The sequence below is a fragment of the Homo sapiens genome, chromosome 3 (genome assembly GCF_000001405.40).
Source record: "Homo sapiens chromosome 3, GRCh38.p14 Primary Assembly".
In the NCBI taxonomy this organism is placed as follows: Eukaryota; Metazoa; Chordata; class Mammalia; order Primates; family Hominidae; genus Homo; species Homo sapiens.
Genome location: NC_000003.12, coordinates 88,374,069 through 88,400,171, shown reverse-complemented (window position 1 = coordinate 88,400,171; position 26,103 = coordinate 88,374,069). Strand labels below are relative to the sequence as shown.

At 35.8% G+C, this 26,103-nt stretch overlaps 1 protein-coding gene across 6 annotated transcripts in view; it reads right to left on the bottom strand.

Moving 5' to 3' along the window:
- The window catches only part of CSNK2A2IP (casein kinase 2 subunit alpha' interacting protein), a 129,139-nt gene that overhangs the window by 67,423 nt on the left and 35,613 nt on the right, over positions 1–26,103 (bottom strand). For 2 of the 6 annotated variants that reach the window (XM_047447366.1, XM_047447367.1), the window contains one exon: positions 17,339–17,587. The exons of 2 other annotated variants lie outside the window; for them this stretch is intronic. In XM_047447366.1, the coding sequence (XP_047303322.1) occupies positions 17,339–17,587 (249 nt within the window). Of the gene's footprint in view, positions 1–345; positions 557–17,338; positions 17,588–26,103 lie in introns of those variants that run through there. 2 more of the 6 variants (NM_001368168.1, NM_001368166.1) reach the window with 2 other exon arrangements.

Sequence of the window (26,103 nt, the reverse complement as noted above, 5' to 3'; positions counted from 1 at the left end):
TGAAGTCTTAATTATGCCATCTTGAATAGATTTCTCACTCAAGACTTCTCTAGTATTTATTTACCTTGCCACTAATATGTAATCTACGATTTGTTTTAAACAAGGACAGATGTTACTTTTCTACTCTCAAATATCATACTCATTATATGCTTCATTTTATGATGCTTCTATTACGTGATATTCATTATATGATAATGTTTTATACTTTTTGCTTTTTGATTCCTCAAGTATTCATTCTATTGTGCATTGTCTGTAATTTCTGTGCCATATTTTACTAATCTGGGTCAGTTCTATGCCTCAAGGCAAGATTCAGGTTCCCCGGTTCATTTTTCTTTCTGAACTCGCCTTTGTAATTCGCTTCACTGGAAAACACATGAGGTTAGGAAACCTCATTTAGGGGCAGGTTTTCCATCTCTCCTTTCTTGTTCAGCTTCGCTAATTGTAGTTGGAGTGGCAGCTCAGTTGGATTAGCACCCTGGGGCTCGCTGTCTTTAGTTTGCGGAGGAAGAAGTAGGAAGCCGTACTCCAGTCTCAGGCCTGTGTGCCTGCCATATTTCTGCCAGGAAGAATCAGTTTTATTTATCACTTCCTGCCCAATGTCCAGCACCTTACCAGCATATAGTAAGCACTTAATAAACATTTATCAAATGAATAAATGTAAGGATGAATGAAAGATTGACATAAAAGTTAAACTCTTATTGGTCTGTATTTTTGAGTCTGACCTTTGGATGCAGGAGCAGAGTGAGTGAGGCGTTTGGCTACCCTAGTTCTTTTCAACTGATCCTGGATAATCACTTCTAAATATTTCTTATATTGGTGACATATATATTTTTTAGAAGGTAGATGATGTATTTTTTAAATGTTTAAGTCAATAAATTGTATTCAAAATGTTAACAATAAAGCCTCAGACAACCATTTTGCTCTAAGAATGAAATAATAAAATCTTTCGTAATAGAATTCACAATAACATAATATTTGCAAATGAATTCCAAAATGCTTTCAGTCTTTATGCTATTGTTGAGGAATGCATCCCTCAAAAATGGCCTCATTAAAAAACACCACCTATATCAATGTTCATGTCCTATTAAGTTAATATTTTATTAAAATTATATCTTTTTGTTTGTCTTTATTCTCTGACAGACCTCCTTATGTGCATCTGATTCATCTTTGTATCCTTAAACCCAAGATAGTTACTATTTCTATAAAAAATCATTTATGAATAAGTGAGTGGATATTTTGTTTAATATTGTTTCTTCCTCAGATATCTATTGAGCATTAATATGTGCAAGAGACTGTGAAAGCTACACAAATTTTAGCACTGAGCAAGACATAAATATTCCCTGCCATCAAAGTGTAAGAATGAAAAACAGCTACAAATAATGAATTATCTGTCTCCCTATATAAGGCTCCTGTTGAAGATAAATCAAGATGTCTTTATAGTATCTCAAGACTTCATGGCCAGAATAGCTTTCAACTTGTAATTGTTAAATAAAGCCTCCTGACTTTCATATCTGACATCTATGCTTTCTCTTCACAGTCAAGATGGGACCTTTCTCTATTTCTAAAAATAAGCCCAGCAGAGTGGAAAGAGTTTCATTAGTTAAGATGGAACATATACTTTGGTATATACAGCATTTAAGAATTTTTAAGTATATACGCACCCAATTTATTTTAGGATTAATTTATCTAACTGGTGTGTGGATTTAAATGATTTTTGTTAATTACAAAGTTTTTGCGTTCATATTAGTGGGGTCCTTCAGCATTAATATTCTTTATAATTTAAGAGTTCAAGGGCAGAGAGAAAGTATATTTTTCTTTCTTGTTCACATGATAAAACAGAAGCATGGAATTTTTAAGTATCTTATTCTAAGTCATATAATGAGTCTTGATTAAAATCACTGCTAGAAATCAAAGCTTTTTGTTCAATGGGTTCAACAATGGGCCATTCATCTTCCATAGACATTTTGCATAAGTAATAGCAGCTCAAGTTTAAGAACAATTCCAGTGGCCATAACATCTATATTCATTCTACATTAGGGCATTTAATTTTCTGTTTATGAATTCAGCATATTTCTCTGAGTTGGACGTAGTTCAATGTTTTATTATAGGAAATCATATTTTTTCCTGTAGGTTGTCAGGAAACAGTTCCCCAATTTTACTTAGTTAGAACAATGGTTCCTATCCAAAAAGCTGCTATAAGTAATGAAAATGAAATCAATTTACTGGCTCAGCTCCCAGATTAAGGATTGCTTTATGAATAAATAAAATAGTAGATGGCACCTAGAAGGGGAATGAACAATTTATGTATTATCAGGACACTTCTTACTGTTCACTTTTAGTAAAATGAAACACTTACTATTTGGACTTAAAATGCCTCAAACTGTGATGTTATTTTGAAAAAAAAAAGAGATAGGAGATATCCTAGTAATAACAATAAATAATTTAAAGGCTGATTTTGCACAATAATATTATATATGCTAAACAATTTTAATATTTTATGAATATAAATACTATAACACATCACCCCTATTTCATTTTCAATTTTTCTTCCTCAGTCTATTAAATTAAGGCAAACTCTTTCATATTTTATATCTTTCTAGTGATACACTACAAAGTAAATATGACTGCTCAGATGCTTGTTCAATAAATCTCTGTTATTTGTCAATTTTGTAGTGTTACATGAGGGATTATCAGCATTGTGACAAATTATTCTCTATCATTATTCTTGTTAATAATAGTAATTTTATAGAACTTGACAAAACTAATAAAAGATGAATAATGTTACAAGTGCAGCATCTCAAGTATACTATTGTAAAGGTAGCACAAACATAAGAAATCAAAGTAGAAAACTGACAAAACTGGAAACTTCAGGAGGAAAAGACAAGATGCACAGGATAGTCTTGACATACTTCTAGCTGAAATACACTTGAAGTAGAAAGAGGAAGAACAAGAATTGAGAGTGGCCCTTTCTCCCTTTCTGTAATTCTCACTAAAATCATTGTATCTTCACCTAAGATTTCACCTGACAGCTATTTCCTATTGGGCGGTAAATGTTTATCTTCTACTCAGACCTATTTACTGAGCACCAAGCACACTTATCATATATCTATTTCACATGCCCTCTTGTTTTTCTTAAAAATATCACTGTCATACGTTTGGCACACTGACGCCATCCCTCAACTCCTCCCTTTTCCTTACCTGCCATATTCAAGCTATCACTAACTCTGTTAGTATTTTTTCTCTAAATTACCTCCTGAATATATCCAATTCTTTCCATTTCCAATTCACCATGCTAGTTCAAGCCACCACTTTGGACTATTGCTGTACCCGCTTAACTGTCCTCTCTAATTCAACTATGGCTTTACTCCAATCCACTCTTCACATGGCAGCCATACTGATCTTTTTAAAATGTAACTATTATAATCTTATGCTCCTGCATAAAGCCATTTAGAATAGAGATTTGGCTTCAAGATCATTATCTAGCCACTAAGGTATCTCTCCTGCAAAATCTAACATTGCGCTTCTCCTCGCTCTCTCCTAACTACCATGATCATCTCTCAGAACCATAACCTCACTGTGTTTCCTCCCACCACAGGTCGTTTCTCATGTTCCTTGTTGTGGATAGAATGTGCTTCACTCCTCGCTAACCTAGTCAATGCTTGTTCCGGCTTCAGACTTCAACACCTTGCATTTTCACAGGAAAACTTTCTGTACTCTCCTCCTAAGGTCAAGTTACTTGATTATATCCCTTAAAGAAGTAGGTAGTCGGCCGGGCGCGGTGGCTCACGCCTGTAATCCCAGCACTTTGGGAGGCCGAGGCGGGCGGATCACGAGGTCAGGAGATCGAGACCATCCTGGCTAACACGGTGAAACCCCGTCTCTACTAAAAATACAAAAAATTAGCCGGGCGAGGTGGCGGGCGCCTGTAGTCCCAGCTACTCGGGAGGCTGAGGCAGGAGAATGGCGTGAACCCCAGGGGGCGGAGCCTGCAGTGAGCCGAGATTGCGCCACTGCACTCCAGCCTGGGCGACAGCGAGACTCCGTCTCAAAAAAAAAAAAAAAAAAAAGAAGTAGGTAGTCCTCTTTTATTGCACTTAATATGTGACTCTTTTATCAATGTCTGTTTCTTCTCCTAGATCGTAAACTCATAGTCAGAGAAGGCCTATGATTTTACTAATCATGGTAACTCCAGGATAAAACAAGCAACTACATACAGCAGATACTCAAAAAATATTAGTTCAATATAGCCACCAATTAAAGTAATTAATTGTAATAAATGATTATAAAATAAAAATTGTAAACAATACTGTCTTGAATAACATAAAAATGTGAAACAGGAGTATACTTAACAAAATATGAAAGACATGTACATTGAAAACTCAAAGAAAATTTATGAGACAAAAAGAAATAAATAATTCGAGCTATACACCATTTCAGTTTATTGGTAGACTCAGTATTGTTAAAATGTTGATTCTTCCCAAATTTTTCTGCAGTTTCAGTTCAATCCCAATTACAATTCCAGCAAGCTTTTCTTTGTAGAAATGTATAAGCTGATTTTATCATTAATATAAAAATGCAAAAGATTTTAAATAGCTGAAATAATTTTGAAAAAGAAAAAGCAAATTTATGTTATCTGAAAGTGTATCTAGAACACTGGCTGAGAAGAGAGAGTTCTAAATTAGATGTACAGGTAAGATCAGTTTATGTTCACAAATGTAGTAAGGTCATTAAACAAAATGAAAGATAATGTTTTCACCAAATGGTGTTGGAGTAACTGGAAATCATTACAGAAAACACTAAATTTGACCCTTATTTCATATCATTCTCAAAAATTACCTGAAATGGATCATAGAATTAAGTGTAATGCTAACACTATAAACTTTTAGAAAAAAAGGAGAAATTTTTCATGATTATTGGATAAACAAAGATGTCTTAGGAAACACCATAAAAATTGATAATTGGAATTCATAAAAATCTAAAACTTCTACTCTTCAAATTACACCATTAACAAAAACTAGGAGAAAATTTTACATGTATGTGTATATACGTCTGCATATGAGTATGAGTGTGTATACTTAAACACACATGCACACAAATGAGCACATATGCGTAAACAGAACAAAGGACTTTTTTAACTTTTATTTTAGGTTTGAGGGTACATTTGAAGGTTTACTATATAGGTAAACATGTGTCACCGGGGTTTGTAGTTTGTAGATTATCACCCAGATGTTAAGCCCAGTACTCAATTGCAGTCTTTGCTGCTCCTCTCCCTCCTCCCACCCTCTCCTCTCTCAAGTAGACCCCAGTGTCTGTTGTTTCCTTTTAGAACAAAGGGCTTGTATCCAGAATATATAAACAACAACTACAACTCAATAAGAAAATAATCCAATCAACACTCCAGACAAAGGACTTAAAGTTTTCACGAAAGGCAAATATATAGTCAATAAATGGGTGAAGCAGTGCACAATATCATTAGCCATCTTAGAAATGCAAATTAAGGCTGTGTGTGCTGGCTCAGGCCTGTAATCCCAGTGCTTTGGGAGGCCAAGGTGGGTGGATCACCTAAGGTCAAGAGTTCGAGACCAGCCTAGCCAAAATGGTGAAACCCCGTTTCTACTAAAAAATATAAAAATTCGCTGGCCGTGGTGGCGGATGCCTGTAATCCCAGCTACTCGGGAGGCTGAGGCAGGATAATCACTTGAACCCAGGAGGCAGAGGTTGCAGTGAACTGAGATCATGCCATTGCACTCCAGTCTGGGCAACAAGAGCAAAACTGCATCTCAAAAAACAAAAATTTTTTAGAAAAGAAATGCAAATTAAAACTGAGACACCCCCATCCATTGCTAAAACTTAAAAACACCAAATATTGGTGATGATATGGATAAAATTAAACTTTCATAAATGTATTTAGTAATGGAATATGGTACATTCACTTTGGAAAATAGCTTAGCAGTTTGCTACAAAGGTGAACATACACATATCATTATATGTACCCAATATCCCAGATAAATAAGTGTCTGCACTTGTCTTTATACACAGTTTATGTTGTTAAATTTTTACTGAATGCTCTCTACACCTTCTAACTTTAAATGTAAACTACTTATCTACTGAGAACACCATATCCCTCACATTTCTCTCAAGCAAAGGCCACACATTGCCCCTCACACCACACGAAATTATGTAGAATTGGGTCTTTGTCATCATTGTCCCCTAGCGCTGCTTTCAGACCATTACCCTTGCTCATCTGTGGCCTGTCATTTCAGCTCTCCAACCCTCCTCATCCTCTGTACTATCTGCCAGTCTCTTGGTCATTTTTTCTTATTCACTAATAACCTTGGCACCCAGACCACATTGTTCCTTTCTGGTCAAACTGCACTATCAGCTTTAAATTCTACATTTTGAATTTTACATCTCAAATTCTACGTCTCCAGTGACATTCTCCACCATTTTATTTTAACTACACACTTGTCTAACCATAAAGTAAACGAAGCAATCACATAAAACTTGCTTCAGAAATTTCACTGTTTGACCACAATCTCCTAAAATTCTGTATATGTCACTCTGCTATTGCACTTACACTTTGTCTTTAAAATATTGTTGAATCTATGGCACCATTACCCTAAGTACATAAATATGTGTATGTGTATGTACACATCCATTTATCTATATCGATCCACTCTGTCTATATTATTTATTTATATCAACTTCACGTCTGTTTATATTCCCCCATTTTGATTCAACAAATTATCTACTACTCTCCTTCCATTCCTAAAATTACTTTTCCCATGCACACATGCCAAATCCCTATCTCTAGGTGAATACACTAAGCACTTTCTCCGTACTTATAGTCTAGGTTGAGAAATATCTAACTATTACACAAGTTGACATCAAAAAATGTAACAGTCTTCAGTTGGGCAGTTTTAAAATATCTCAAGACTGAGTAAGTTTACCTGAAATGCTTTCTTCCATATTCCACATAATGACTATATCAAACCTTCTCTTACCTGCTTAAACTTAAATCCTTCAACTTACCTCACACTATCTGCAGATATATGAGAAATGTCCTTCGATTGTCACTACAGAAGATATCATGTCACATACAGCTATACCCATTCTTCCTCCTTTCCTCCTGATACAAAGGGCAAAATCCCTTTTATCCCTTTCAAGGCCAATCCTCCCCTTTATTCTCCAGATAGATTCCAGTTGTTTCACCCTTCCCTAAACCTTGTGCTATTAATTATCTATCTCTCAACTAACACAACTGCATTTTTAACCTCCATCCCACCTGCTTTAAAGTGTGTTCATATTGCCCTATTTTAATAAAATTAAATAAAACAAAAGCATCTGTCCTCAACCCAATAGCCCAGTTAACTATCCTATTTCTCTTCTCTCCACCCAAACTTACGTAATGTGTTTATTGCTCTTTTTTCCAGTCCATCACATTTTTTATTTCCAGTTTATTCCAACCTTGTTTCAACTTACATAAATACAGGGAAACTGCTTTTATCAAAGTCACTAATGTCTTACCCACTCCAAAATTCAATTGCAATGTGTTTATTGTACCTTACTTTAATTTTTGAAAGAATTTGAACTGCTGGCTGCTTCCTCCTTTTTGGAACTCTCTCTTTACTAAATTTTCATGTCACATATTCTCTTAGCTTTTTGACTATTTCTCTGGCCATTCCTTCTTAGTTTTCTTTGCTTGTTCTTTCTTTTCCATCAATGAATTTCTCAACTTTTCTCCTACATCTCCTTGTCTTCTCTAGCTATTCTCTATCCCTATAGATATCTAATTCCTTTCATTGGGCTTTAATAGCTATTTCGGGGTGTGTAAAAATTTACCTACATCCAGACCACATATATCTCCTGAATTCTCTCCTGAATTCTGAACCACATATCCAACTGCCTACTTGATTCTAACACATTCACAAATTCCAGTTGGAAACAATATGTATTATCTTTTATGCTTCAGTTTGCCCTGTACTACCTACTCCTTTTCTGTGTTTTCTATTTGTTAAAATGGCACCCCAGCCTCTGGTGATCCATCCAGAAATCTGGGGCATGTTCCTAGCTATTCCCTGGTTTTCACTCCTTCTCACATCCAACTAACTACAAATTCTTTTGATTCTACATCCTAAAGTTCTTGGTTCTACCTATTTTCTTCCATTAAAGCGCTCATCAATGCACCGTCATTTCTTTAACAAACTTCTGCAATCACCTCCTCACTATTCTCACTGCAACCACTCAGCTGCCTTCCTCCACCTCATTATCTAATTTCAGAGTCATCTTTCCTGAAATGCATATATGATCATGTTACTCTTGCCATAAATTATTACAATGACTTCCCAAGCTATGATCTCCAACAAGGCTTACCAGATTGTACACAGTCTCATGACTTTCTACCTCTACAACATCAAATGCAGTTAGTTCCCCTTTACTGCTTCCACTCCAAAGATGATGAGTTTATTAGTTTCTCAAACAAATTATTATTTTTCTTGCCTCTGGTTCTTGGCCCCTGCTGTACCTTCTGCCTAGAGTATGTTTTCTTTTTTCACTCTTCATCTGGCTATGACCATAATCATGAAGTTATATCTTAAATATAACTTTAAGAACAACAAAGGATGAAACAAAATAACTATTGCAGCTTAGATTTGCCTTGGTATATACACGTTTAGAAACTTATTTCACTTTGCAGGTTTGCATTTCCTTTTGAAATATTCTAACTACTTTTATGTTTTCTATTGTAATATCTATGAATAAAGGTATTATGTCCATTTAGGTTGCAGCTATATGCCTAATACCCAGCACGTTGTGTAGCACAGAGTAGGTTGTTAATATTTGTTGCAGGAATAAATGAGTAAACAGTATAATTCAACAGTGCAAAAAAACCAAAAATAATAGTTTGAAAAACTATCCTCAAGAATGGCAAAAGCTAACATTTTTAGTTCTTATCATGAATTAGGTATTAATATCAGGGTATCTACAAATCTCTATATCTATATGTACATATCTACACATCACAGAAATAGACATAAACATAGGCTCTTCACTTAGTCTTTGCAGCTGCCTATTAAGTATTATTGTCCTCATTTTGCCTAAGCAGAAACTGAGCATACAAAGACTAAGTAATTTGCCCCAATCACACTGCTAGAAAATAGCTGAAAGTGACCACAGGGAAGTTTGATTCTAGAACACAAATTCTTAATCATATGGGAAGATTTCCTTTTAAATAAGCGCCAATGTTTTTAATTTTTATCTTTTAGGTAGGATCTATAAAATAAAATAATTGTATTAATACCATCATAAATATAGTCATCAGATTTCTTCAGTATACTACATATGCAACACTAACAAAAGCAAAATACATGATGCAGAAACCTAAATTTTCCAAGACCTTAAAATAATACATGGCAAAAATATTTGGATACTTATATTGCTGCACTAATTATTTCAGACTGCTCAAGAACTCCTCAGTTAATACTCCATGAAATAAGTGCAACCTTCACACCTAATAGAATTAATGTACCTACAAAGCATACAACTTTTAATCAGAGAATTAGAGTGAAATTAAGAAATGCCCACTCGATTTAGTTATTTATTCTTTTGCTATATTTTTTCTCATCAAATATTTGTGCCTGGTACATCCCTCAGAGAAGACCTCTCATTGGATGTGACGTTGAGTTATCGGCTTAATGAGGTATGACAAAGCTTCATGACTAACTCTTTTGTTTCCTATACATGCCATCATTTTCTCAACAGTTCCAGGTCAGTGTCACTATGCCAGAGAATGTTCCAGCAGTACCTTTATCCTGGGTTGGATAGAGCTTTTATCTTTAAAATCTCATGACCTGATGTTTAACCTTTACCAAAATGCTTAATGCTTAATCCAAAAAAGCTACATGGACGGTTTTCTGTAAGGGAGACTTTTGGTCTGTTTGCCAGCCTCATTTGATTCCATTCAAGTGTATCAGGTCTATTGTAACAATTTTGAGCTTATCCTTATCCAAATTTATCACACCATCCTCCACAGACACAAACCACCCTCCTCCCCAAGAAGCTTTTCAAGCTTCTAGTGTCCATGGCATAGATGAAGGGGCTCTAAAGTCCCGTCCACCTTCAGAGCTAAGCCTATTCTCTGATTCTGACGAGCCGTTTTTACATTCTGTTCTCCAGACCATTGTGAGGGTACTTGTTTCACACAAGCTATTCTGGTGATTTTCTTGGAAGAAAGGAAGTATACTAACATGGTTTCTTTCCAATGAACAGAACCCAGCCATTACTTTTATAGAACACTTGTGCTGCTTAGGAGAAAAAAAATGCCTCCCCAATTAAAAAAAAAAAAAAAGTACAGGGTTTTTAGTCTCTTTACTTCCACCACCATGCACTCCAATGTGTATTTTTGTAATACATTGCCACTGTTGGCTCTGTCCTTAAAATACATTCAGAATCCAACCTCTCCTTACCATCTTTGCCCCCAATACACTAGTGCAAGCCACGAGAAGCTCCAACCTGGATTATTTCATCTATGCCAACTGTACTCCTTGCTTCTACCCTGAACCTCCATGCAGTCTATTCTCAGCAGAGTGTCTTTTTTAAAACTATGTCAGATATTCTTATTTCTCTGCTTACTCATTTCCTATATCAACAAGGAGAAAAGCCAGCATCCTTACGATGGCCTATAAGTCCCTCCATGAGCTGGCACCCCTGAAGTCTCCAACCTCATTTTCCTCTGCTCTCATCCTGCCTCACTTCTCTCCATCCACATCAGCTTTCCAGCGGTTCCTCAAGCACAGCCAGACAAGGTCCAGCCTTAGGGCTTTTACACCTGCTGCTCCTTCTTCCAGGGATAATCTTCCTCCTGATGAAGCATTGTAATACCTCATCAAGCCAATAACTAACGTCCTCATTTTCTCACATTGGCAGAGTTTTTTTTTTTAAATTAAATGTTACTGTCTCATTGAGCTCCTTCCTGAACCCCCTATTTTAAATTGTAGCTTTACCCAATTACTCCTAATTTTCCTATTTGGTGCTCTCTTATTGTTCTATGGAACACTAATTATCATCTAATATAGTTATATAACTTATTTATTTCATTGTGTATCTCCTCGCAGTAAAATATAAGCAAATGAGGGCACGGCTTTTGGGTGGTTTGGGGTTTACGGTTTTTGTGGAGGTTTTTGGTCTGCTGGTTCATTGTTATATCCTCATTTTCTAAAGCAGCACAAAGGAGACAATAGATAATTACTGAATATTTGTTAAATGAATGAGTCAATTGGTGCTATTATTTGGTATTAAACCAAGCAGAAGGTGGAAATAATCTAATATAGACAGTAGCTATAACTTCCATGGAAGACCTCATTGTGGCTAAACAGGCAGCCTTAATTCGACAGATGTTCAAATAACCAAAAATTGAAGCAGACAGCTTGACTAACTAGGAAATGTTTGTATCTATACAGGGATATGAAGGTTTTCCAGAACAGCAAAGGGAGGATGAATAAGATGGCAAAGAACTGGACAGCCAATCTTATATCTGACTACTGTTAATAAACCAACTTTTTTCACTTCCTGACTTGGATGCATTTATATTCTCTATCCTAACATTGAATTACAGACTTGCATTTAATTAGATAATAGATTCTGTACATTTGCACTTCCTGTAAAATAAAAAACCCTCATTTTGACCTTTTTAATTGACTTAATCTGCCAAGATTCTGACCAAAGACTGTAACATTTTGACACTACATTTTGCAAAAAAGCTTTTATATATTGAAGCTTGATCAAATTGAATAATATATGTGCAGAAACTGGAAATATGTACTTTGCTCAATATAGTCTAATTAACATAATTGGCCTAGCACCAAAAATGACTAGAAGAGTTATATATTTTTACAGGTATTAAACAGACCACTGTTTCATGTAAGACAATAATAGTATGTGAGTGTTTTTGTGTGTATGATTTAATCATAAATTTATATGAAACATAGTAATCAGCAAAGACGTCATGGAATTGTTAGAAACTAAAATAGAAATGACAACAGAGGAAGTCAAATAATAGAACTGCCATCAGAAAGAAAAAATAAAGAGTTCTGTGCACAAAGAAGCAGGAAAGACTTAATTAAGCAGCCAAATTTGGGGAAACACTATGGGAAAGGAGGATTATAATAATGTTTATTTCCCAGCACTTTGGGAGGCTGAGGCAGGAGGATCATTTGAGGCCAAGAGTTAGAAATCAACCTGGGCAACACAGCAAGACCACGTCTCTACAGACAAATTTTTAAAATTAGTTGGGTGTGGTGTCATGAACCTGTAGTCCTGGCTATTAGGAGGCTGAGACAGAAGGATCCCTTGGGCTCAGGAGTTCAAGGCTGCAGTGAGCTGTGATCATGCCGCTGCACTCTAGCCTGGGCAAAAGAGCAAGATTCTATCTTTAAATAATAATTGTATGTTTACAGTTTATCTGGAAACATATTATTTTTGATATATGCTAGAAATATACTTAAAATATTTTTAAAGGCAGTTCCAGGTGGAAGAAAAGGAAAAGAAATAAAATTCACATACCAATACCATTCCATAGATTATTATGGTAATGATGAGCTACATACAAAATTGTAACACACTACCATAAAAAATATGGTATAAAAGTTAAAGGCAATCATGCAAGCACATAACTGTAAGGAAGATAGATTAGTAAAAACATGTGTTTGGCCGGGCACAGTAGCTCATGCCTGTAATCCCAGCATTTTGGGAGTCTGAGGTGGGTGGATCACGAGGTCAAGAGACAGAGACCATCCGGGCCAACATGGTGAAACCCCATCTCTACGAAAAATACAAAAATTAGCTGGGTGTGGTGGCACATGCCTGTAATCCCAGTAATCTTAGCTACTCGGGGGGCTGAGGCAGGAGAATCACTTGAACCCAGGAGGCGGAGGCTGCAATGAGCCAAGATCCTGAAACTGCACTCCAGCCTGGTGACAGAGCAAGACTGCATCTCAAAAAAAAAAAAAAAAAGCATGTGTTTGCAGTCAGGTATATTTAAAGGATAGTGGTTGTTGCAATGCTGAAATTAACAACAAAAGTATAAAATGACTAGATTGAGAATAGAGTCCATGTTTCCTATTCACTTTCATCTTCATGTTTCCTGTTGACTTGTATCTCCATGTGACTTGTCATCCACTGTTTATTGGTGGAAGATTTCACTTTTGTTTCACTGCATTTCCATCCCAGATCTCCCATCCATCTCAATGCATGACTTTATTAGTGGTGACATCTTTATTCATGTGAATTGCCCATCTAACAACTGATCTCTCAGCTCCTTGACTTCCTCACTTATGACCATCTTTTTCTTCTTCCCCATATCAGCTACCCACTTACGTTGTCAAACTCTGGTCTTTGTCATTACCAATAACTATACTGTATTAAAACTCTCCATTTAACATTTCGTTCACTAACCACCACATGTTTTTCTTCCATTCCACTATCAGTTGTATCCCCCCAATAACATCCAACATGCGTACGATTAACCCCACCAATTTGCCTCAATTCTGGTACTCTGTTCTTCCCCACTTTCTATATTTACACTCTGCTTTCCTAATTTAGAGAACAAGTTTGATCATTATAGTCACTCCCTGAAAATGGCCTCAATTATTTTGTTGTCTCTCTGGCATACTTTCCTGACCAAACCTCAAAGCTGGCTTAACCAAATCATCTGCTTTCTCCGTGGTTTCTTTATGAGAAATTGAGTATTGCGGCTGGGTACGCTGGCTCACGCCGGTAATCCCAGCATTTTGAGAGGCCGAGGCAGGTGGATCACCTGAGGTCAGGTGTTTGAGACTGGCCCGGCCAACATGGTGAAACCCTGTCTCTACTAAAAATACAAAAAATTAGCTGGGCATGGTGGCGGGTGCCTGTAATCCCAGCAACTTGGGAGACTGAGGCGGGAGAATCGCTTGAACCTGGGAGATGGAGGTTGCAGTAAACCGAGATCACGCCATTGCAGTCCAGCCTGGGCAATAAGAGTGAAACTCCATCTCAAAAAAAGAAAAAAAAAATAGCATAGAAAAGAAATTGAGTATTACTGCAAAAATATTTCACAAATGGACTGCCATATTTCTCAGTTTTACATCTCCCAAATGAATCAATTTTCTTACTCTGGCTTATATTTCACATATTTTCCACTATCTTCAAACAAACCCAAATGACCTCAGACTTGCAGAGTCTTCATGTTTCTTGTTCACTTTCACCTTCCTGTTTCCTATTGACTTTTATATTTATGTGACTTCTCACCCATTGTTTTTTGAGAAAGTAGAAGCTATAAAAGATAATTCCCTCATCCTTTCACCTTCAAGTCTTAAAAAAATCACCTTATAAATTCATCTTGTATTTTTCCTGCTAGAATGGAATAGACATTCCATGACTCTCTAAAGGTAAGTCAGCTAAAGCCACAGATTTCAACGGCTCTCATCTTCTTGAGGATTTCATTCCATCAGCTGCATTTCCCTTGCTTGCTTTACCAATTTCTCCCTTTCTTTTTATTTTTTCCCAATAAACCTATAAATATGTTCTAGTAGTATCTATTTAAAAATAAACATTTTTGAACCTACATTATCTTCCAGGTACTATCTCATTTCAAATCATTTAGAAAAGAAGAAAAACAAAAAAAAAGTTATTTCATAGTTGTTTACTACTGTCATCTTCAGTTTCACTTACTCCAACTACTCTTCTACTTCTTCCAATCTGGTTTCCACCTGCCCAGCATAACTTACATTCCTCATTTCAAGGTCACAAAAGACCTAAATGTTTGCAAAATTCAATTGAATCTCTTTGTTTTATTCTTACATAATGACTCAGCAGCATTAGCTCACCACACCTCCTTCCTGAAACCCTCTCCTCTCTCACCTTCCATATCACTACACACGCCCAGTTTTCCTCCCGCCTCACCGCTCTTTCATTTTCAGTCTCCTTTGCTAACTATTCGGCCTGCGACCAATGTGAAGTTACTGGATTGCATCAGGATTCTACCTTGAGTCACTTTTTCTCTTTGTCTTATACTCTCTCCCAAGGTGATTTAATGCTATGGAATATCTTTATGCTATTTCCAAATCTTCATCTCCATCTAACATCTTTCCCCAGTTCTAAACTTCTATATCTAACTGCCCACTTCATATCTCCAACTTGGATGTCTTAGGTTAGTTTCCTCCAACATATGTCATCTCAAAAATAATTTTTGATCCCTCTTCTCATGTCTCCCCAATCTTTGTCATCTCAGAAATTGACAAACTATTTTCTCATTTCCTTCATTTCCCTCACTGCCTTCAACCAGTCTATTGTGCTGCTGTTTCAATTCTACCCCCAAATATATACCAATCTGCCCACTTCTCTTGTTTCTATTATCTCTGTCTTAGTTAAGCTATCAACATCTTCCACCTGAAAAATAGCATGTCTCTATCTTGACTCCCTCCTTCCATTCTTCTCTCACTCTAGGCCATTTTCTATAGCCACAAAAATTGTTCACTTTTAAAACATAAGTTGAGTAATATCACTTCCTTGTATGAAGTGGTTTCAGGAGTCCCTATTGCTCTTTGGGGAAAAATGGCTCCTACCAGGATCTTTTCATACCGTAATGCACCACTCTTCCCTTCTATTGCATGTCACTATACAACAGCCGCACCAGCTTCCTTTTTTCTCCTCACTCCTGCCATGTTCTTTCCAGCCTCAGAGCCTTTTACTTGCATCCCCATGGCTGGCAAGTCTCTTTCGCTGGCTCTTCAGATGGCTAGTGTTTTTTGTTTTTTTGTTTTTTTTTTAATTTTGGGTTTCAGAAAAAGAAAGGAGAGAGAGAGAGGGAGAAAGAAAGTCAGTCAGTCCCTTACCACCCAATCAAAAAGTGGCCCTTTTCTACTTTCAGTAATTCTAGATGCATATACTCTTTCTTTCTTAGCATTTTTCACAATGTTTATCTTGTTTTATGTATTTGTTTCCGGGTTTGCTGTGCAAAGTAATTTTCATGGGGGCAGGGACTTATCTATCTTATTTACCATAGTATACCCTATCCAAAGTAGATCCTACACAAGGTAGCCACTCTGGAAAATGTTTCTGTGCAAAATTTATTAATGAATGCACTACTATATAGAGACTAATTAGAAAAAGTTATTATATTCTATATTCTATACCAATCGGCAGGGTCAAAAGCAGAACTAAAGAATAAGAAGAAGCCCGGCGCAGTGGCTTATGCCTGTAATCCCAGCATTTTGGGAGGCCGAGGCAGGCAGATCACAAGGTCAGGAGATCGAGACCATCCTGGCTAACACGGTGAACCCTGTCTCTACTAAAAATACAAAAAAATTAGCGGGGCGTGGTGGCGGGCACCTGTAGTCCCAGCTACTCTGGAGGCTGAAGCAGGAGAATGGCATGAACCGGGGAGGCGGAGGTTGCAGTGAGCTGAGATCGCGCCACTGCGCTCTACACTCAAGCCTGCGTGACAGAGCAAGACTCCGTCCCAAAAAAAAAAAAAAAAAAAAAAAGAAAGAAAAGAAACAGGTGTCCATAGGCTATTCAAAATGATGAATAATTCCCAGGATCTAGCCTATGACTAACAAAGCACAAAAAACGCCACTTAGGCCATATGCTGATGAGTACACAGTAAAGTGGCTCCCTGGGTATCCATCTGGAAAGAGAGCTAAAAATAATGAAGACTTGACTCTGCACCAAACATTGTGCTATGTATTTTATGTATTTTACCTTTATTAATACTCACATCACTGTGAAGTGTGCATTGTCATCATCATTTTATAGATTAAAAATTCTGACCTCAGAAAGATATAAAATTGCCTAACATTTCACAAACAGTGAACGATGGATTTTAGATTAGAGATTATGTCTGCCCAACTCCAATGTCCATAATGTTTCTACAATGCTGCATAATCTCTTATATTTTTTATTTTAAGAAATTTGTTAGTGCCCATTGGATTTGAGAGTTAAGGGGTAGGCCCAGAAAAGGCCTTTGGGAGCCCTATTTTTAATCTTCTACAGGACCTCCAAAAGAGAAGAAGAAGATGAAGACAAAGACAAAAAAAAATAAGTAGAGGGAAGAGAGGGGAGGAGGAAGAAAAGGAGAAGGAGAAGAAACCTGAGATTAGTTTGTTGGCCTACAGTGTAAACTGTTTTACAATGCCACAGAGTTAACCAGTAGGAAATGTGAGATTAGAAACTGGCTTCCAGATCTTATCCAGTACTTTCATTCAAACAATTCACTCTAATAGAAAATTGAAGCTCAGAGCTAAATAATAATCTACCCAAAAAGGTTAGATTTGCATCGTGCACAAGTGAACCAAGTCAGCAATCAAATTTTTACTTTATTTAAAAATAAGATTGATATCATACTTCTTGGGTATGAACTTCCAAAGGCCAGAGTTGCTTCAATCAGGGGGACAGATCTCCTAGGGGCATTGATAAGCCTATGATTAATATCTTCTGCATCTTTCTTATTCAAATCTTTAACACTGGGCCCAATGCCCTGCTTCCAACCAGCTATGGGTTTGTTTTTGTCCAGAAATATTTTCTTGATGGAAAAAGAAGCTGCTAAGGAGGCCTGCAAGATAGAAACCACAACAGCAAAAAATAAGAAAACAAAAATCCTTCATAAGAAAAATCAGAACTCCTTTGGAATTTTGTATATGTATTTTTCAGATTAATATATTTAGATTGCTCATTCAGAAGTACCATAATATTCTCAGTGCTTGAGGTCTCCACAGGTCTTAATTAAGCCCCATCTATTGGCAGCTTCTGCCTAGCCCTCCCCATTCTGTTAGGGAGGAGGCAGTGTCACTCTTCTGACTGTATCACAGACTCATGTCACAGATTTATTGGGACTATCTGCCCTTCATTTCCTCAATACTGATGTCCTGACTATAGAGGATTGTACCAAGGATCACTTTCTATCTCAAAGGTAGCCATTCTTTGTAAAAAGGCAACTCTGAGATGGCTTAGTCTAAGAATCATATTCGGAAGAAATATCCTACACCAAGTAGTGGCTAACTGAACAAGTTAGATTGAAAAGGATATAGAGAAACTCTTCATGCTGCAGGAAAATTGGGTGAAGAATCAGATTGGGAGAGAGCAAAGAATACGCCTACAGTAAAAGTGGTTGCCTGTGGTCACTTTCCTTGGAATGAGTAGAACTCATAGTTGATCTCCTGGTCAGAACAAGTTATCTTCTAAGTTCTTTTTTAGAAAAACAGTTTATTGATGTATGATTGACACATGAAAAGGTGTGGATATTTAATGTCTATAACTTGATACATTTTTAGATCAGCATATACCCATGAAACCATCATGACAATTAATGCCATAAACATATCCATCACTTCCAAACAGTTCCTCTTGCTCTATTCTGAAACCAATCTTATAGGAATCTCACACCTGGTCTTCCTTTACTGTCATTATCTCTCAGCGTTAAATTGTGTCGCTGCTGAAATTGCTTTTCTCAATCTTGTAAATGTTTATTTTATCTGCCAAGGTAGACACAGTGGGTCTCCATGCTTGGAGTCTGAAGATACACCCTCTTGAGAACCACTCACTTATTCCAGCAGCTGTTTCCCACATAACAGCATCAAGGCTAGGCCATGAATGCCTTCCCACCATAGCCTCATGCTTTGTTATAACCAGTAAGACCTCACCACCACCTACCTCCAACAGTAACAGTAATAGTTAGTACCTTATATTCAATCTAAAGAGCCAGCCCATACTATTCCGTTCCTACAGGAAATTTTATTTCAGGAGCCTCATTGCCCCTCCCTGTCTATGGGCTTTGACCAATACCATTGAGAATCATTCTGCTTGATTTTCCAAATTGCAGTTTCAAGGAGGAATATCCAAGTTACTAATTGTCCTCTGCCCTTTGAGAAGACCTCAGGTCTTTATTTACAAACAGATGTTATTTTTCTCTCAAGGAACACATTTTTTGGCTAGGAACATTTAAGAGTGGTAATCTTCATGAACAAACCTTCTGCCACACCCTAATCTCAGGACGAGGACCAGATCCCAGCCCTAACTTGGCATAAGTGCAAGCCACTGAGGTTTTTCCCTGCTTCAGGGGCTTTTTCTCCACTAAACATAAGCAAGAGCCTGGCGTTTTAAGTAACCTCTTTCATGGAGAACCCATTTAATCTCCAATTTGACTGGCACCCTGTTTACACATGTATAAAGAATATACATCATCCCAAACTCTCTAATATCTAGGCTCCTTGGCAGGAATAAACTAAACACTTAGCTGGAAGATATTAGTTTTGATAGATCAACATGTGAAAGAAATAAAAATAAATCTATGAATGATTTGCCTCCTAAAAACTTTATCATTAGATAATTGGTCTACACCCTTTACTCTCTTTTTCTGACACAATATTTTCACTTATTTTTTTTTCTGTTTCTTATAGTTATTATGTTCCTTTCTTGTCTTAATTCTGACTCATATTTTAGGTCAGTATTCTACTTTACTCTGTTTTACATGGGGCAATTCCAGTCAACGAAAGTATAATTCTATAGCCTTAATGTCTAAATAGTGCTATCTAGAAATAGCTGTTTTTTCTATAACAGTTTTATGAATAGGTTTTAGTGTTATTTAAATAAATATTTTCTAAAATTTCTACCGATCTAGTGATCTTAATAAATGATATTCTAAGATAATCAAATATAATATTTAAGAAATATTAAATATAATCTAAGATAATATTTAAGAAAATTAAACATTAAAACATAGTTTGTGCCCTTGAAATAAGATCCTTTTTGTGAGCCACTAATATTTATTGATATAATCTGATATTCTCTTTGGCTAGTTCTTTTGACTCTTAAATTGCAAACACTTGATTTCTTTCAACATTGGTACTTTAGTCATCCTGGCCTATTATCTGTATTTGTGGTTTGGCCTAAATGGAGTGATTTACCTTTTCTAAGTAAAAATTATTTTTGCTTTTTTTTAAATAGTTTTTTAGCCTTATAATTTATTTCTATTAATTCTTTTCCCAATAAAAATTCATACCTATCACATTTATAACAATGGAGAATTGCATTAACAGTTTTTAAAGCATGTATGCTTTTGTCAACCTTTTCACAAATTGATATTCTATACATTTACAACATTTTTAGTTTTACTTAAATGTTTTACAGATTGAAATGGAATCTTACAAATATAATATAACGTTTAATATAGTGGCCATAATAAATGATACCTAACATTAAATTAGATGACGAGAATCACTTCTGCGGAAGTTGTTTGATATCTGCATGAGATAGCCTTAGCATGTTAAAAAATAAAATCTTCCTGAAAAATAAAAACAATAGCCTGCACTACAAAGCAATGACAACAAGTGCAACTAAATGCTGAAGAACTTTTAATACACAAAAAATCAAATGTTGTCATGATTGGCCTAACAATGCCAGGACCTGCCCTAACAAATTTAGGGGCAATAATTAAGGTAATCTCACATATGACCTTTTCCCCTGTTTTCTTTAAACTGAGTGGGTTTGTACATTATCTTTTGTATTTTTCAGTCAATATTAATTCACAGGACTAAAGGGGGAAAACCTAGAGGGTGGAGTTGAAGAAGACTCAAATAATTCAGACCCTACAAAAATAAAATTTTATCTGTCAGCTTGAAAGAACTTTCAGGACATTATGATATGAAGCAGAATTATCACTACTATTAATTGCACAAGCATATTAAAAGGACTCCAGAAAGTGACCTCCTCTAAAACAGAGAATGCCTGTAGAAAATATGTCTTAATCTTCTCTTCTGCACTTAGATAAATGTCCAGTATATCTACCGCCTCAATTAACCATAGAAATAAGCTGTCACAATCTAATTCTTCTTTTGACAAGGCGTTTATTCTGAAACCAGCAGAGGGAGGAACAGGCAGTTCCATTAGAAAGAAACAAATGTCACAAAGGTCTGTGCCACACGGGGAGCTTTCCATGTGCAAAATGCTGATTAGAGCTATGGTGAATCTAGGCTAACACGTTCAGGGTTTGTTGACTGAGCTCTAGTAAAACCAGAGCTCTGTGGTCAGATTGACTTTGGAGCGAAGATCATTAACAAAAAAAAAGATGATTTTCGTGTCTAGCAATGCCAAGCAAAACATAAATGAATTAATGAAATGAAAGCATTTTACCTTAAGGTATCATATAGTCATTTGCAAAGATGAGGGCAAGTTTTTATGATAAGCATTTATTTTATGTTTGTTATTATCTTGAAAAAAATTATGGAGCAGCTTTTGAAACCACTAATACTAACACAATCAAACAAAGTTAACAGATGGTCATCCATTCATTCAGTTACATAACACATATTTATTGTATTGTTTACTTTTAAACAAAGATAAATGTGCAAGATGCATTAGGATACACAGAAAAATTATAAAATGCCAATTCTTTCCCTTAGAATATTATAAACAGTAACAAAGAAAAGATAGGTGTATGCTACCATAATATAAATTTTAAGAATAAGTTGGTCATTCAGCAATACCAATGTATTCATTGATAGTTTAGAGCTGTATTATTCAGTACAGAAGCCATTAGCCATACGTGTCTATTTAAATTTAAATTTTAATTAATTGAAATTAAATTACACTAAAAGTTTAATTCTTTAGTCTCACTAGCCAGATTTCAAGTGCTCAATAACCACATGTGGCCACCAGTTACAGTATTGAACAGTTCATTTTCTTCATTGTGAAGAGTTTTACTGGAAAGCACTGGTTTAGAATATAGAAATCTATCAAGTCACAGCAATATACAACTGAGTTGAGTCTTCGTGAGTGGAAAAGACAGAATTTTGATGTATTCAGAAGTTCAGTTCATGCTATTCAAAAGGAGGTAGCATAAACAAAATTGAAAAAAAATCCAGAAGGAGTGAAGTATATAGAGGAAAGAGGAACTGCATTTACTCATCTATAATTTATTCATTTATTTACTTTTACTGATGAGACAATAAAGGGTAAAAGTGGGGGAAAGTTACATATGTAAGTTAAAATTGCATCATTAATAAATCTGAATGACAAAACAATTGCATAGCAGCATAACAATTATAACTGTTTTGCAGGCAAGCATGTCTTGAAATATGGTATGCAATATGATTTTAAGTCATAAACTGGTAACATTTTTTAGTTTGATGGCTATATATGTAGTTTTGAGGTATGTGAAAAATGAAAAATCATATCTCATTAGCACATAAAATCTGTTATATCATTGATATTGCTTAAACAAGGCTGAATTTTTTTCAATTACAAAAGAGTGAATTAAATAAAAGTCACATATGGTCACTGTGTAGACCTAAAGAGTCTTTTCAGGTTTTATGACCAATGCAGTTCTGTGTGTTGGTTAAAATCATCAAATACCAGATGTAACACTGCCCAACTGTGTGATCTTGGGAATATTACTTACACACCTTTTTTATTCTTCAGTTTTCTCTTCCACAAATGAAGATATTAAGAGTGACTGTGTTATAAGATTTGTATGAGGGCTAATTATAAAGTACTTAAATGAGTGCTTAGCATGCAGTAAACAATAATTTTTCACTATTATTACTATTAATATTTACAACATGATCAATAGTGTGTTTTAAGAAAGTTAAGCCATCAACAGAATGCAACATGGTTGAAAGGAGACATTACAATCTGAAAAAAAAAAGCAATTGTAATACAGATTCAATCATTTATAGGTCAACAGTACTGTGTCTGAACATAGCAGTACTGATAGAAATGTAGAGAAGCAGACAAATGTTATAGACGTAACAGAGCTAGAATAAACAGGGTTTAACAAATAATTTAATATGAAAATAAAGAAAAGATAGAGATAAAAGAAAATACCAAAGTTCACAAATCTAGGTAAAGGGGCACCAGTATATAGTGAGAAGGAGAAGTTTGGGAAGAATGATGATGGGTTTCATTTCAGAAATATTGACTTTGAGGTTATGCCAAGGACTTCAGGTTAAGGACTTCAGGTTAAGATCTTCAGCAGTGGAAATAAGGGTCTGGATCTCTGCAGAAAGTCAAACTACAGATTTATAAATCACCAACCCATTGCTAATTGTTAAAACCAAGATATCAAGTGAGTTGGCCATTGGAAGGAGGGTGGAGAACGGGATTTTTAAGGAACGCCTTCTTTTTGTAGGTAAAATGAGGAAACTGAGACAATGATTGAGATTTAGAGAATTCAGAGATGTGGATGGCAAATCAGAACACTGTATCATAGAAACCAACTTACAAAAGAGTTGCAAAAAAGAAAAGACCAACAAGAGTATTGAGTGCTGCAGAGTGGTTAAAGAGGATAAGAATTCAGAAAAGTCATTGGGTTTAATAACTAGGAATTGCTGGTAACCTTAGAATAAAAAGTTTGGTAAATGCCAGAATCACTGCTTGAGCTTAACATAAAGGTCAAATGTTGAGGCTCTTTCAATAAGTGTAGCCACCAAAAGAATGAGGGAAACTATGATAGCATGAGAAAATGGCAGGAACAAGGGAAAGATCTTGTTTGTTTTTTATTTGAATATATTTGTAGGCTGAAAAAAAATAGTGAATGTAAACAGTAACTGAAACTAAGATAGAATATAATTCAAAGAGCTATATCTTGAAGCTAATGAAATAAGAATACATGGAGGAAATACGAGAAGAACTCAGCCTTGGAGTGGGAGGGGAATTTTTCTCTTAGAAGAAAAGAATGATGAAGATAGGTGAAGATCTGTAGCAAGTTAAAGACTGAAATTAGCCATTTTAAGGAACTAAGATCAAAAGTCCTCAGTATTCATTCACCTCACTCAAAAAAAAAATATATTTGCTGAGTGCCTACAATGTACCAGATATGCACTATTCTAGAGCTGACTATACGGAAATAAATAAGAAAGGCAGGAAATTGATTTGAATAATTAATATGTTTTAGAGTGGGAGAGGAGTACAATGAAAAAATAGAAGAAAACTGAGGTCAAATCACAGAGCACACCAATATTTAGAAATATAGAAAAGTGGGGAAAAGAGGAAATAATGTGGCAATGAATGATAAAAATAATTTTAAATAATGAAATGGCTTTGGAGAAAATTAAATCATACAATAGGACAGAGTAAGATGAAAAGAATAGATTTTGGTCAGCCAGGGAGGGAAGGGAAGGCTCTCTGGGTTTGGGTAATACAAGCTGAAATCTGAATAGGATTGAGCACAATGTAAGGAGGTCAGCGGAAGGAACTCCCCAGAAAGAGGAAGTAACAACTAATGGGGATGACACAAAATGGGGTTGATTTTAGCCTGGAGAGATAGGAAAGGGACAGAGTGGCCATTGCACAGTCCAGTTGAAAAAGAGAGCATGGTGTCTTGAGTGAATATGTGGGTCAGGAGTTAAGTTTTGAGTTTTTGTGAGAATAATTTTGGAAAAGTTATTGAGAAATAAAGAATATTGAATATAGAGTAACATCATTTGCTTCCTTCTCTTGTTCATGTAAGCTTCTAAAATACTAGTAGGCTCCCTTTCCCCACTGTTTGCTGTAGTTTGGGTTTTTAGGCCCTTTCTGGGCTATAGAGTTATTTCCAGGTTATTTTACATACATTTGAAGGGGTATCAACACTTTTCCTCTGGGATCCAAAGAACCAGGGAGATGCTTAGAGCTGTGACTAGATCACTGACAGACCTATCACAAATCTTAACCCAACATTGATCCCAGAGTCTTCACAAGTGCTCACAACCAGAGGCCTCTCATAACTTCTCCTCTAAAATACTAATATAGCTTTTTAATCTGACTCTCAACCCTAGTACCAAATTCCCTTCCCTTCTACCATAAGGTTCACCCAACAACAGGATAGAAGAGAACAAATCTTCCGGGAGATCAGCGATGGCTTGCCTTATAAGAGGAGAGTAGTAAGGACATGTTATCTGTTCAAAAAAGGATGGTAAAACTGAGATACTTTTTATTGAACAGATTTTCTCAGTTTGAAAGAGAACTAACGGACACTGGGCTTACAGAAAGTCATTCAGAATAGAGCAATAAGTGAACCATTCAAATGTGGCTGCAGTTTGTGTATCACAAATGAGATCCTTCTGAGAATACTAGAATAGAGAATTATGACAGTGAGGTGACTTAGCCTTAAACCTTATTCCTTTACTTTTCTTTCTTGCCGGTAATTTTATGCATGAGGTTGTGGAGGCTACTCTATGATAGTATAGACTATATACTGATAATTTTGATAACCTATGATGAGTTCTGTGATGTCTTTTTCTTCTCGTATCTTTTCCTTCCTACCCTGATACCAGTCGTCATCCATTGGGAATCTGTATAGTTGGAATATATTTGAATAACTTCTATATACTTTAGCTCTACTTTTTATTTGACCCAAAGAAGCAACAGTGGATCCCAAGTATTCCCATGTGTTTTAGAAGCCTAAAGTCAGTGAGATGAATTCTAACCTCAAGAATTTAAAGCAAAGTAACTTGTGAGGAAATAATGTAAAGAAAATATTGGGTAGTTTGGCTGTAGCATAATTAATTAAATTTTCTGGGTTTCAAAAATTTCAATTGCAATAAAAGTACGTTTTGATATGCTGTTTTTACAATTTTCATTAGCAAATAAATGTATGTAGAGAGAAACAATAAAATGGATATATTGGGAAAAAATACTGGTAGACTTTTAAGAAGGTGTCCATATCAGTATTTACTCTTCCATCTACACCTATTGCCTAGATGATCTCATTCAGTTCCTTGGTAAAATTTGTTTGTATGTTGATGACTCCCAAATCCATATCTTCAGCCTGGAACTCTCCACTAAAGACAATACCATTCCATCAAACGTCCAGCTGGCAACTCCACTTGATTATCTCAGAAGCATCTTGAATTCAACACATACAAACTAGAATTCTTCATTACTGCCTCGCACCGAAATATACAGCTCTTCCTCCAAAATATGTCCTTAGTTAAACCACAATGGCCAATTTCACTGCTACAACCTTAATTTAATTCACCATCAACTTAATGTGCACTATTTTAATAGGATCTTAACCAGCCTTCCTGCTTCAACCCTTGCTTGTGTGTAATCTGTTCTCCATCCAACAGCTAAGTGATCCTTTCCTAAAGGAAT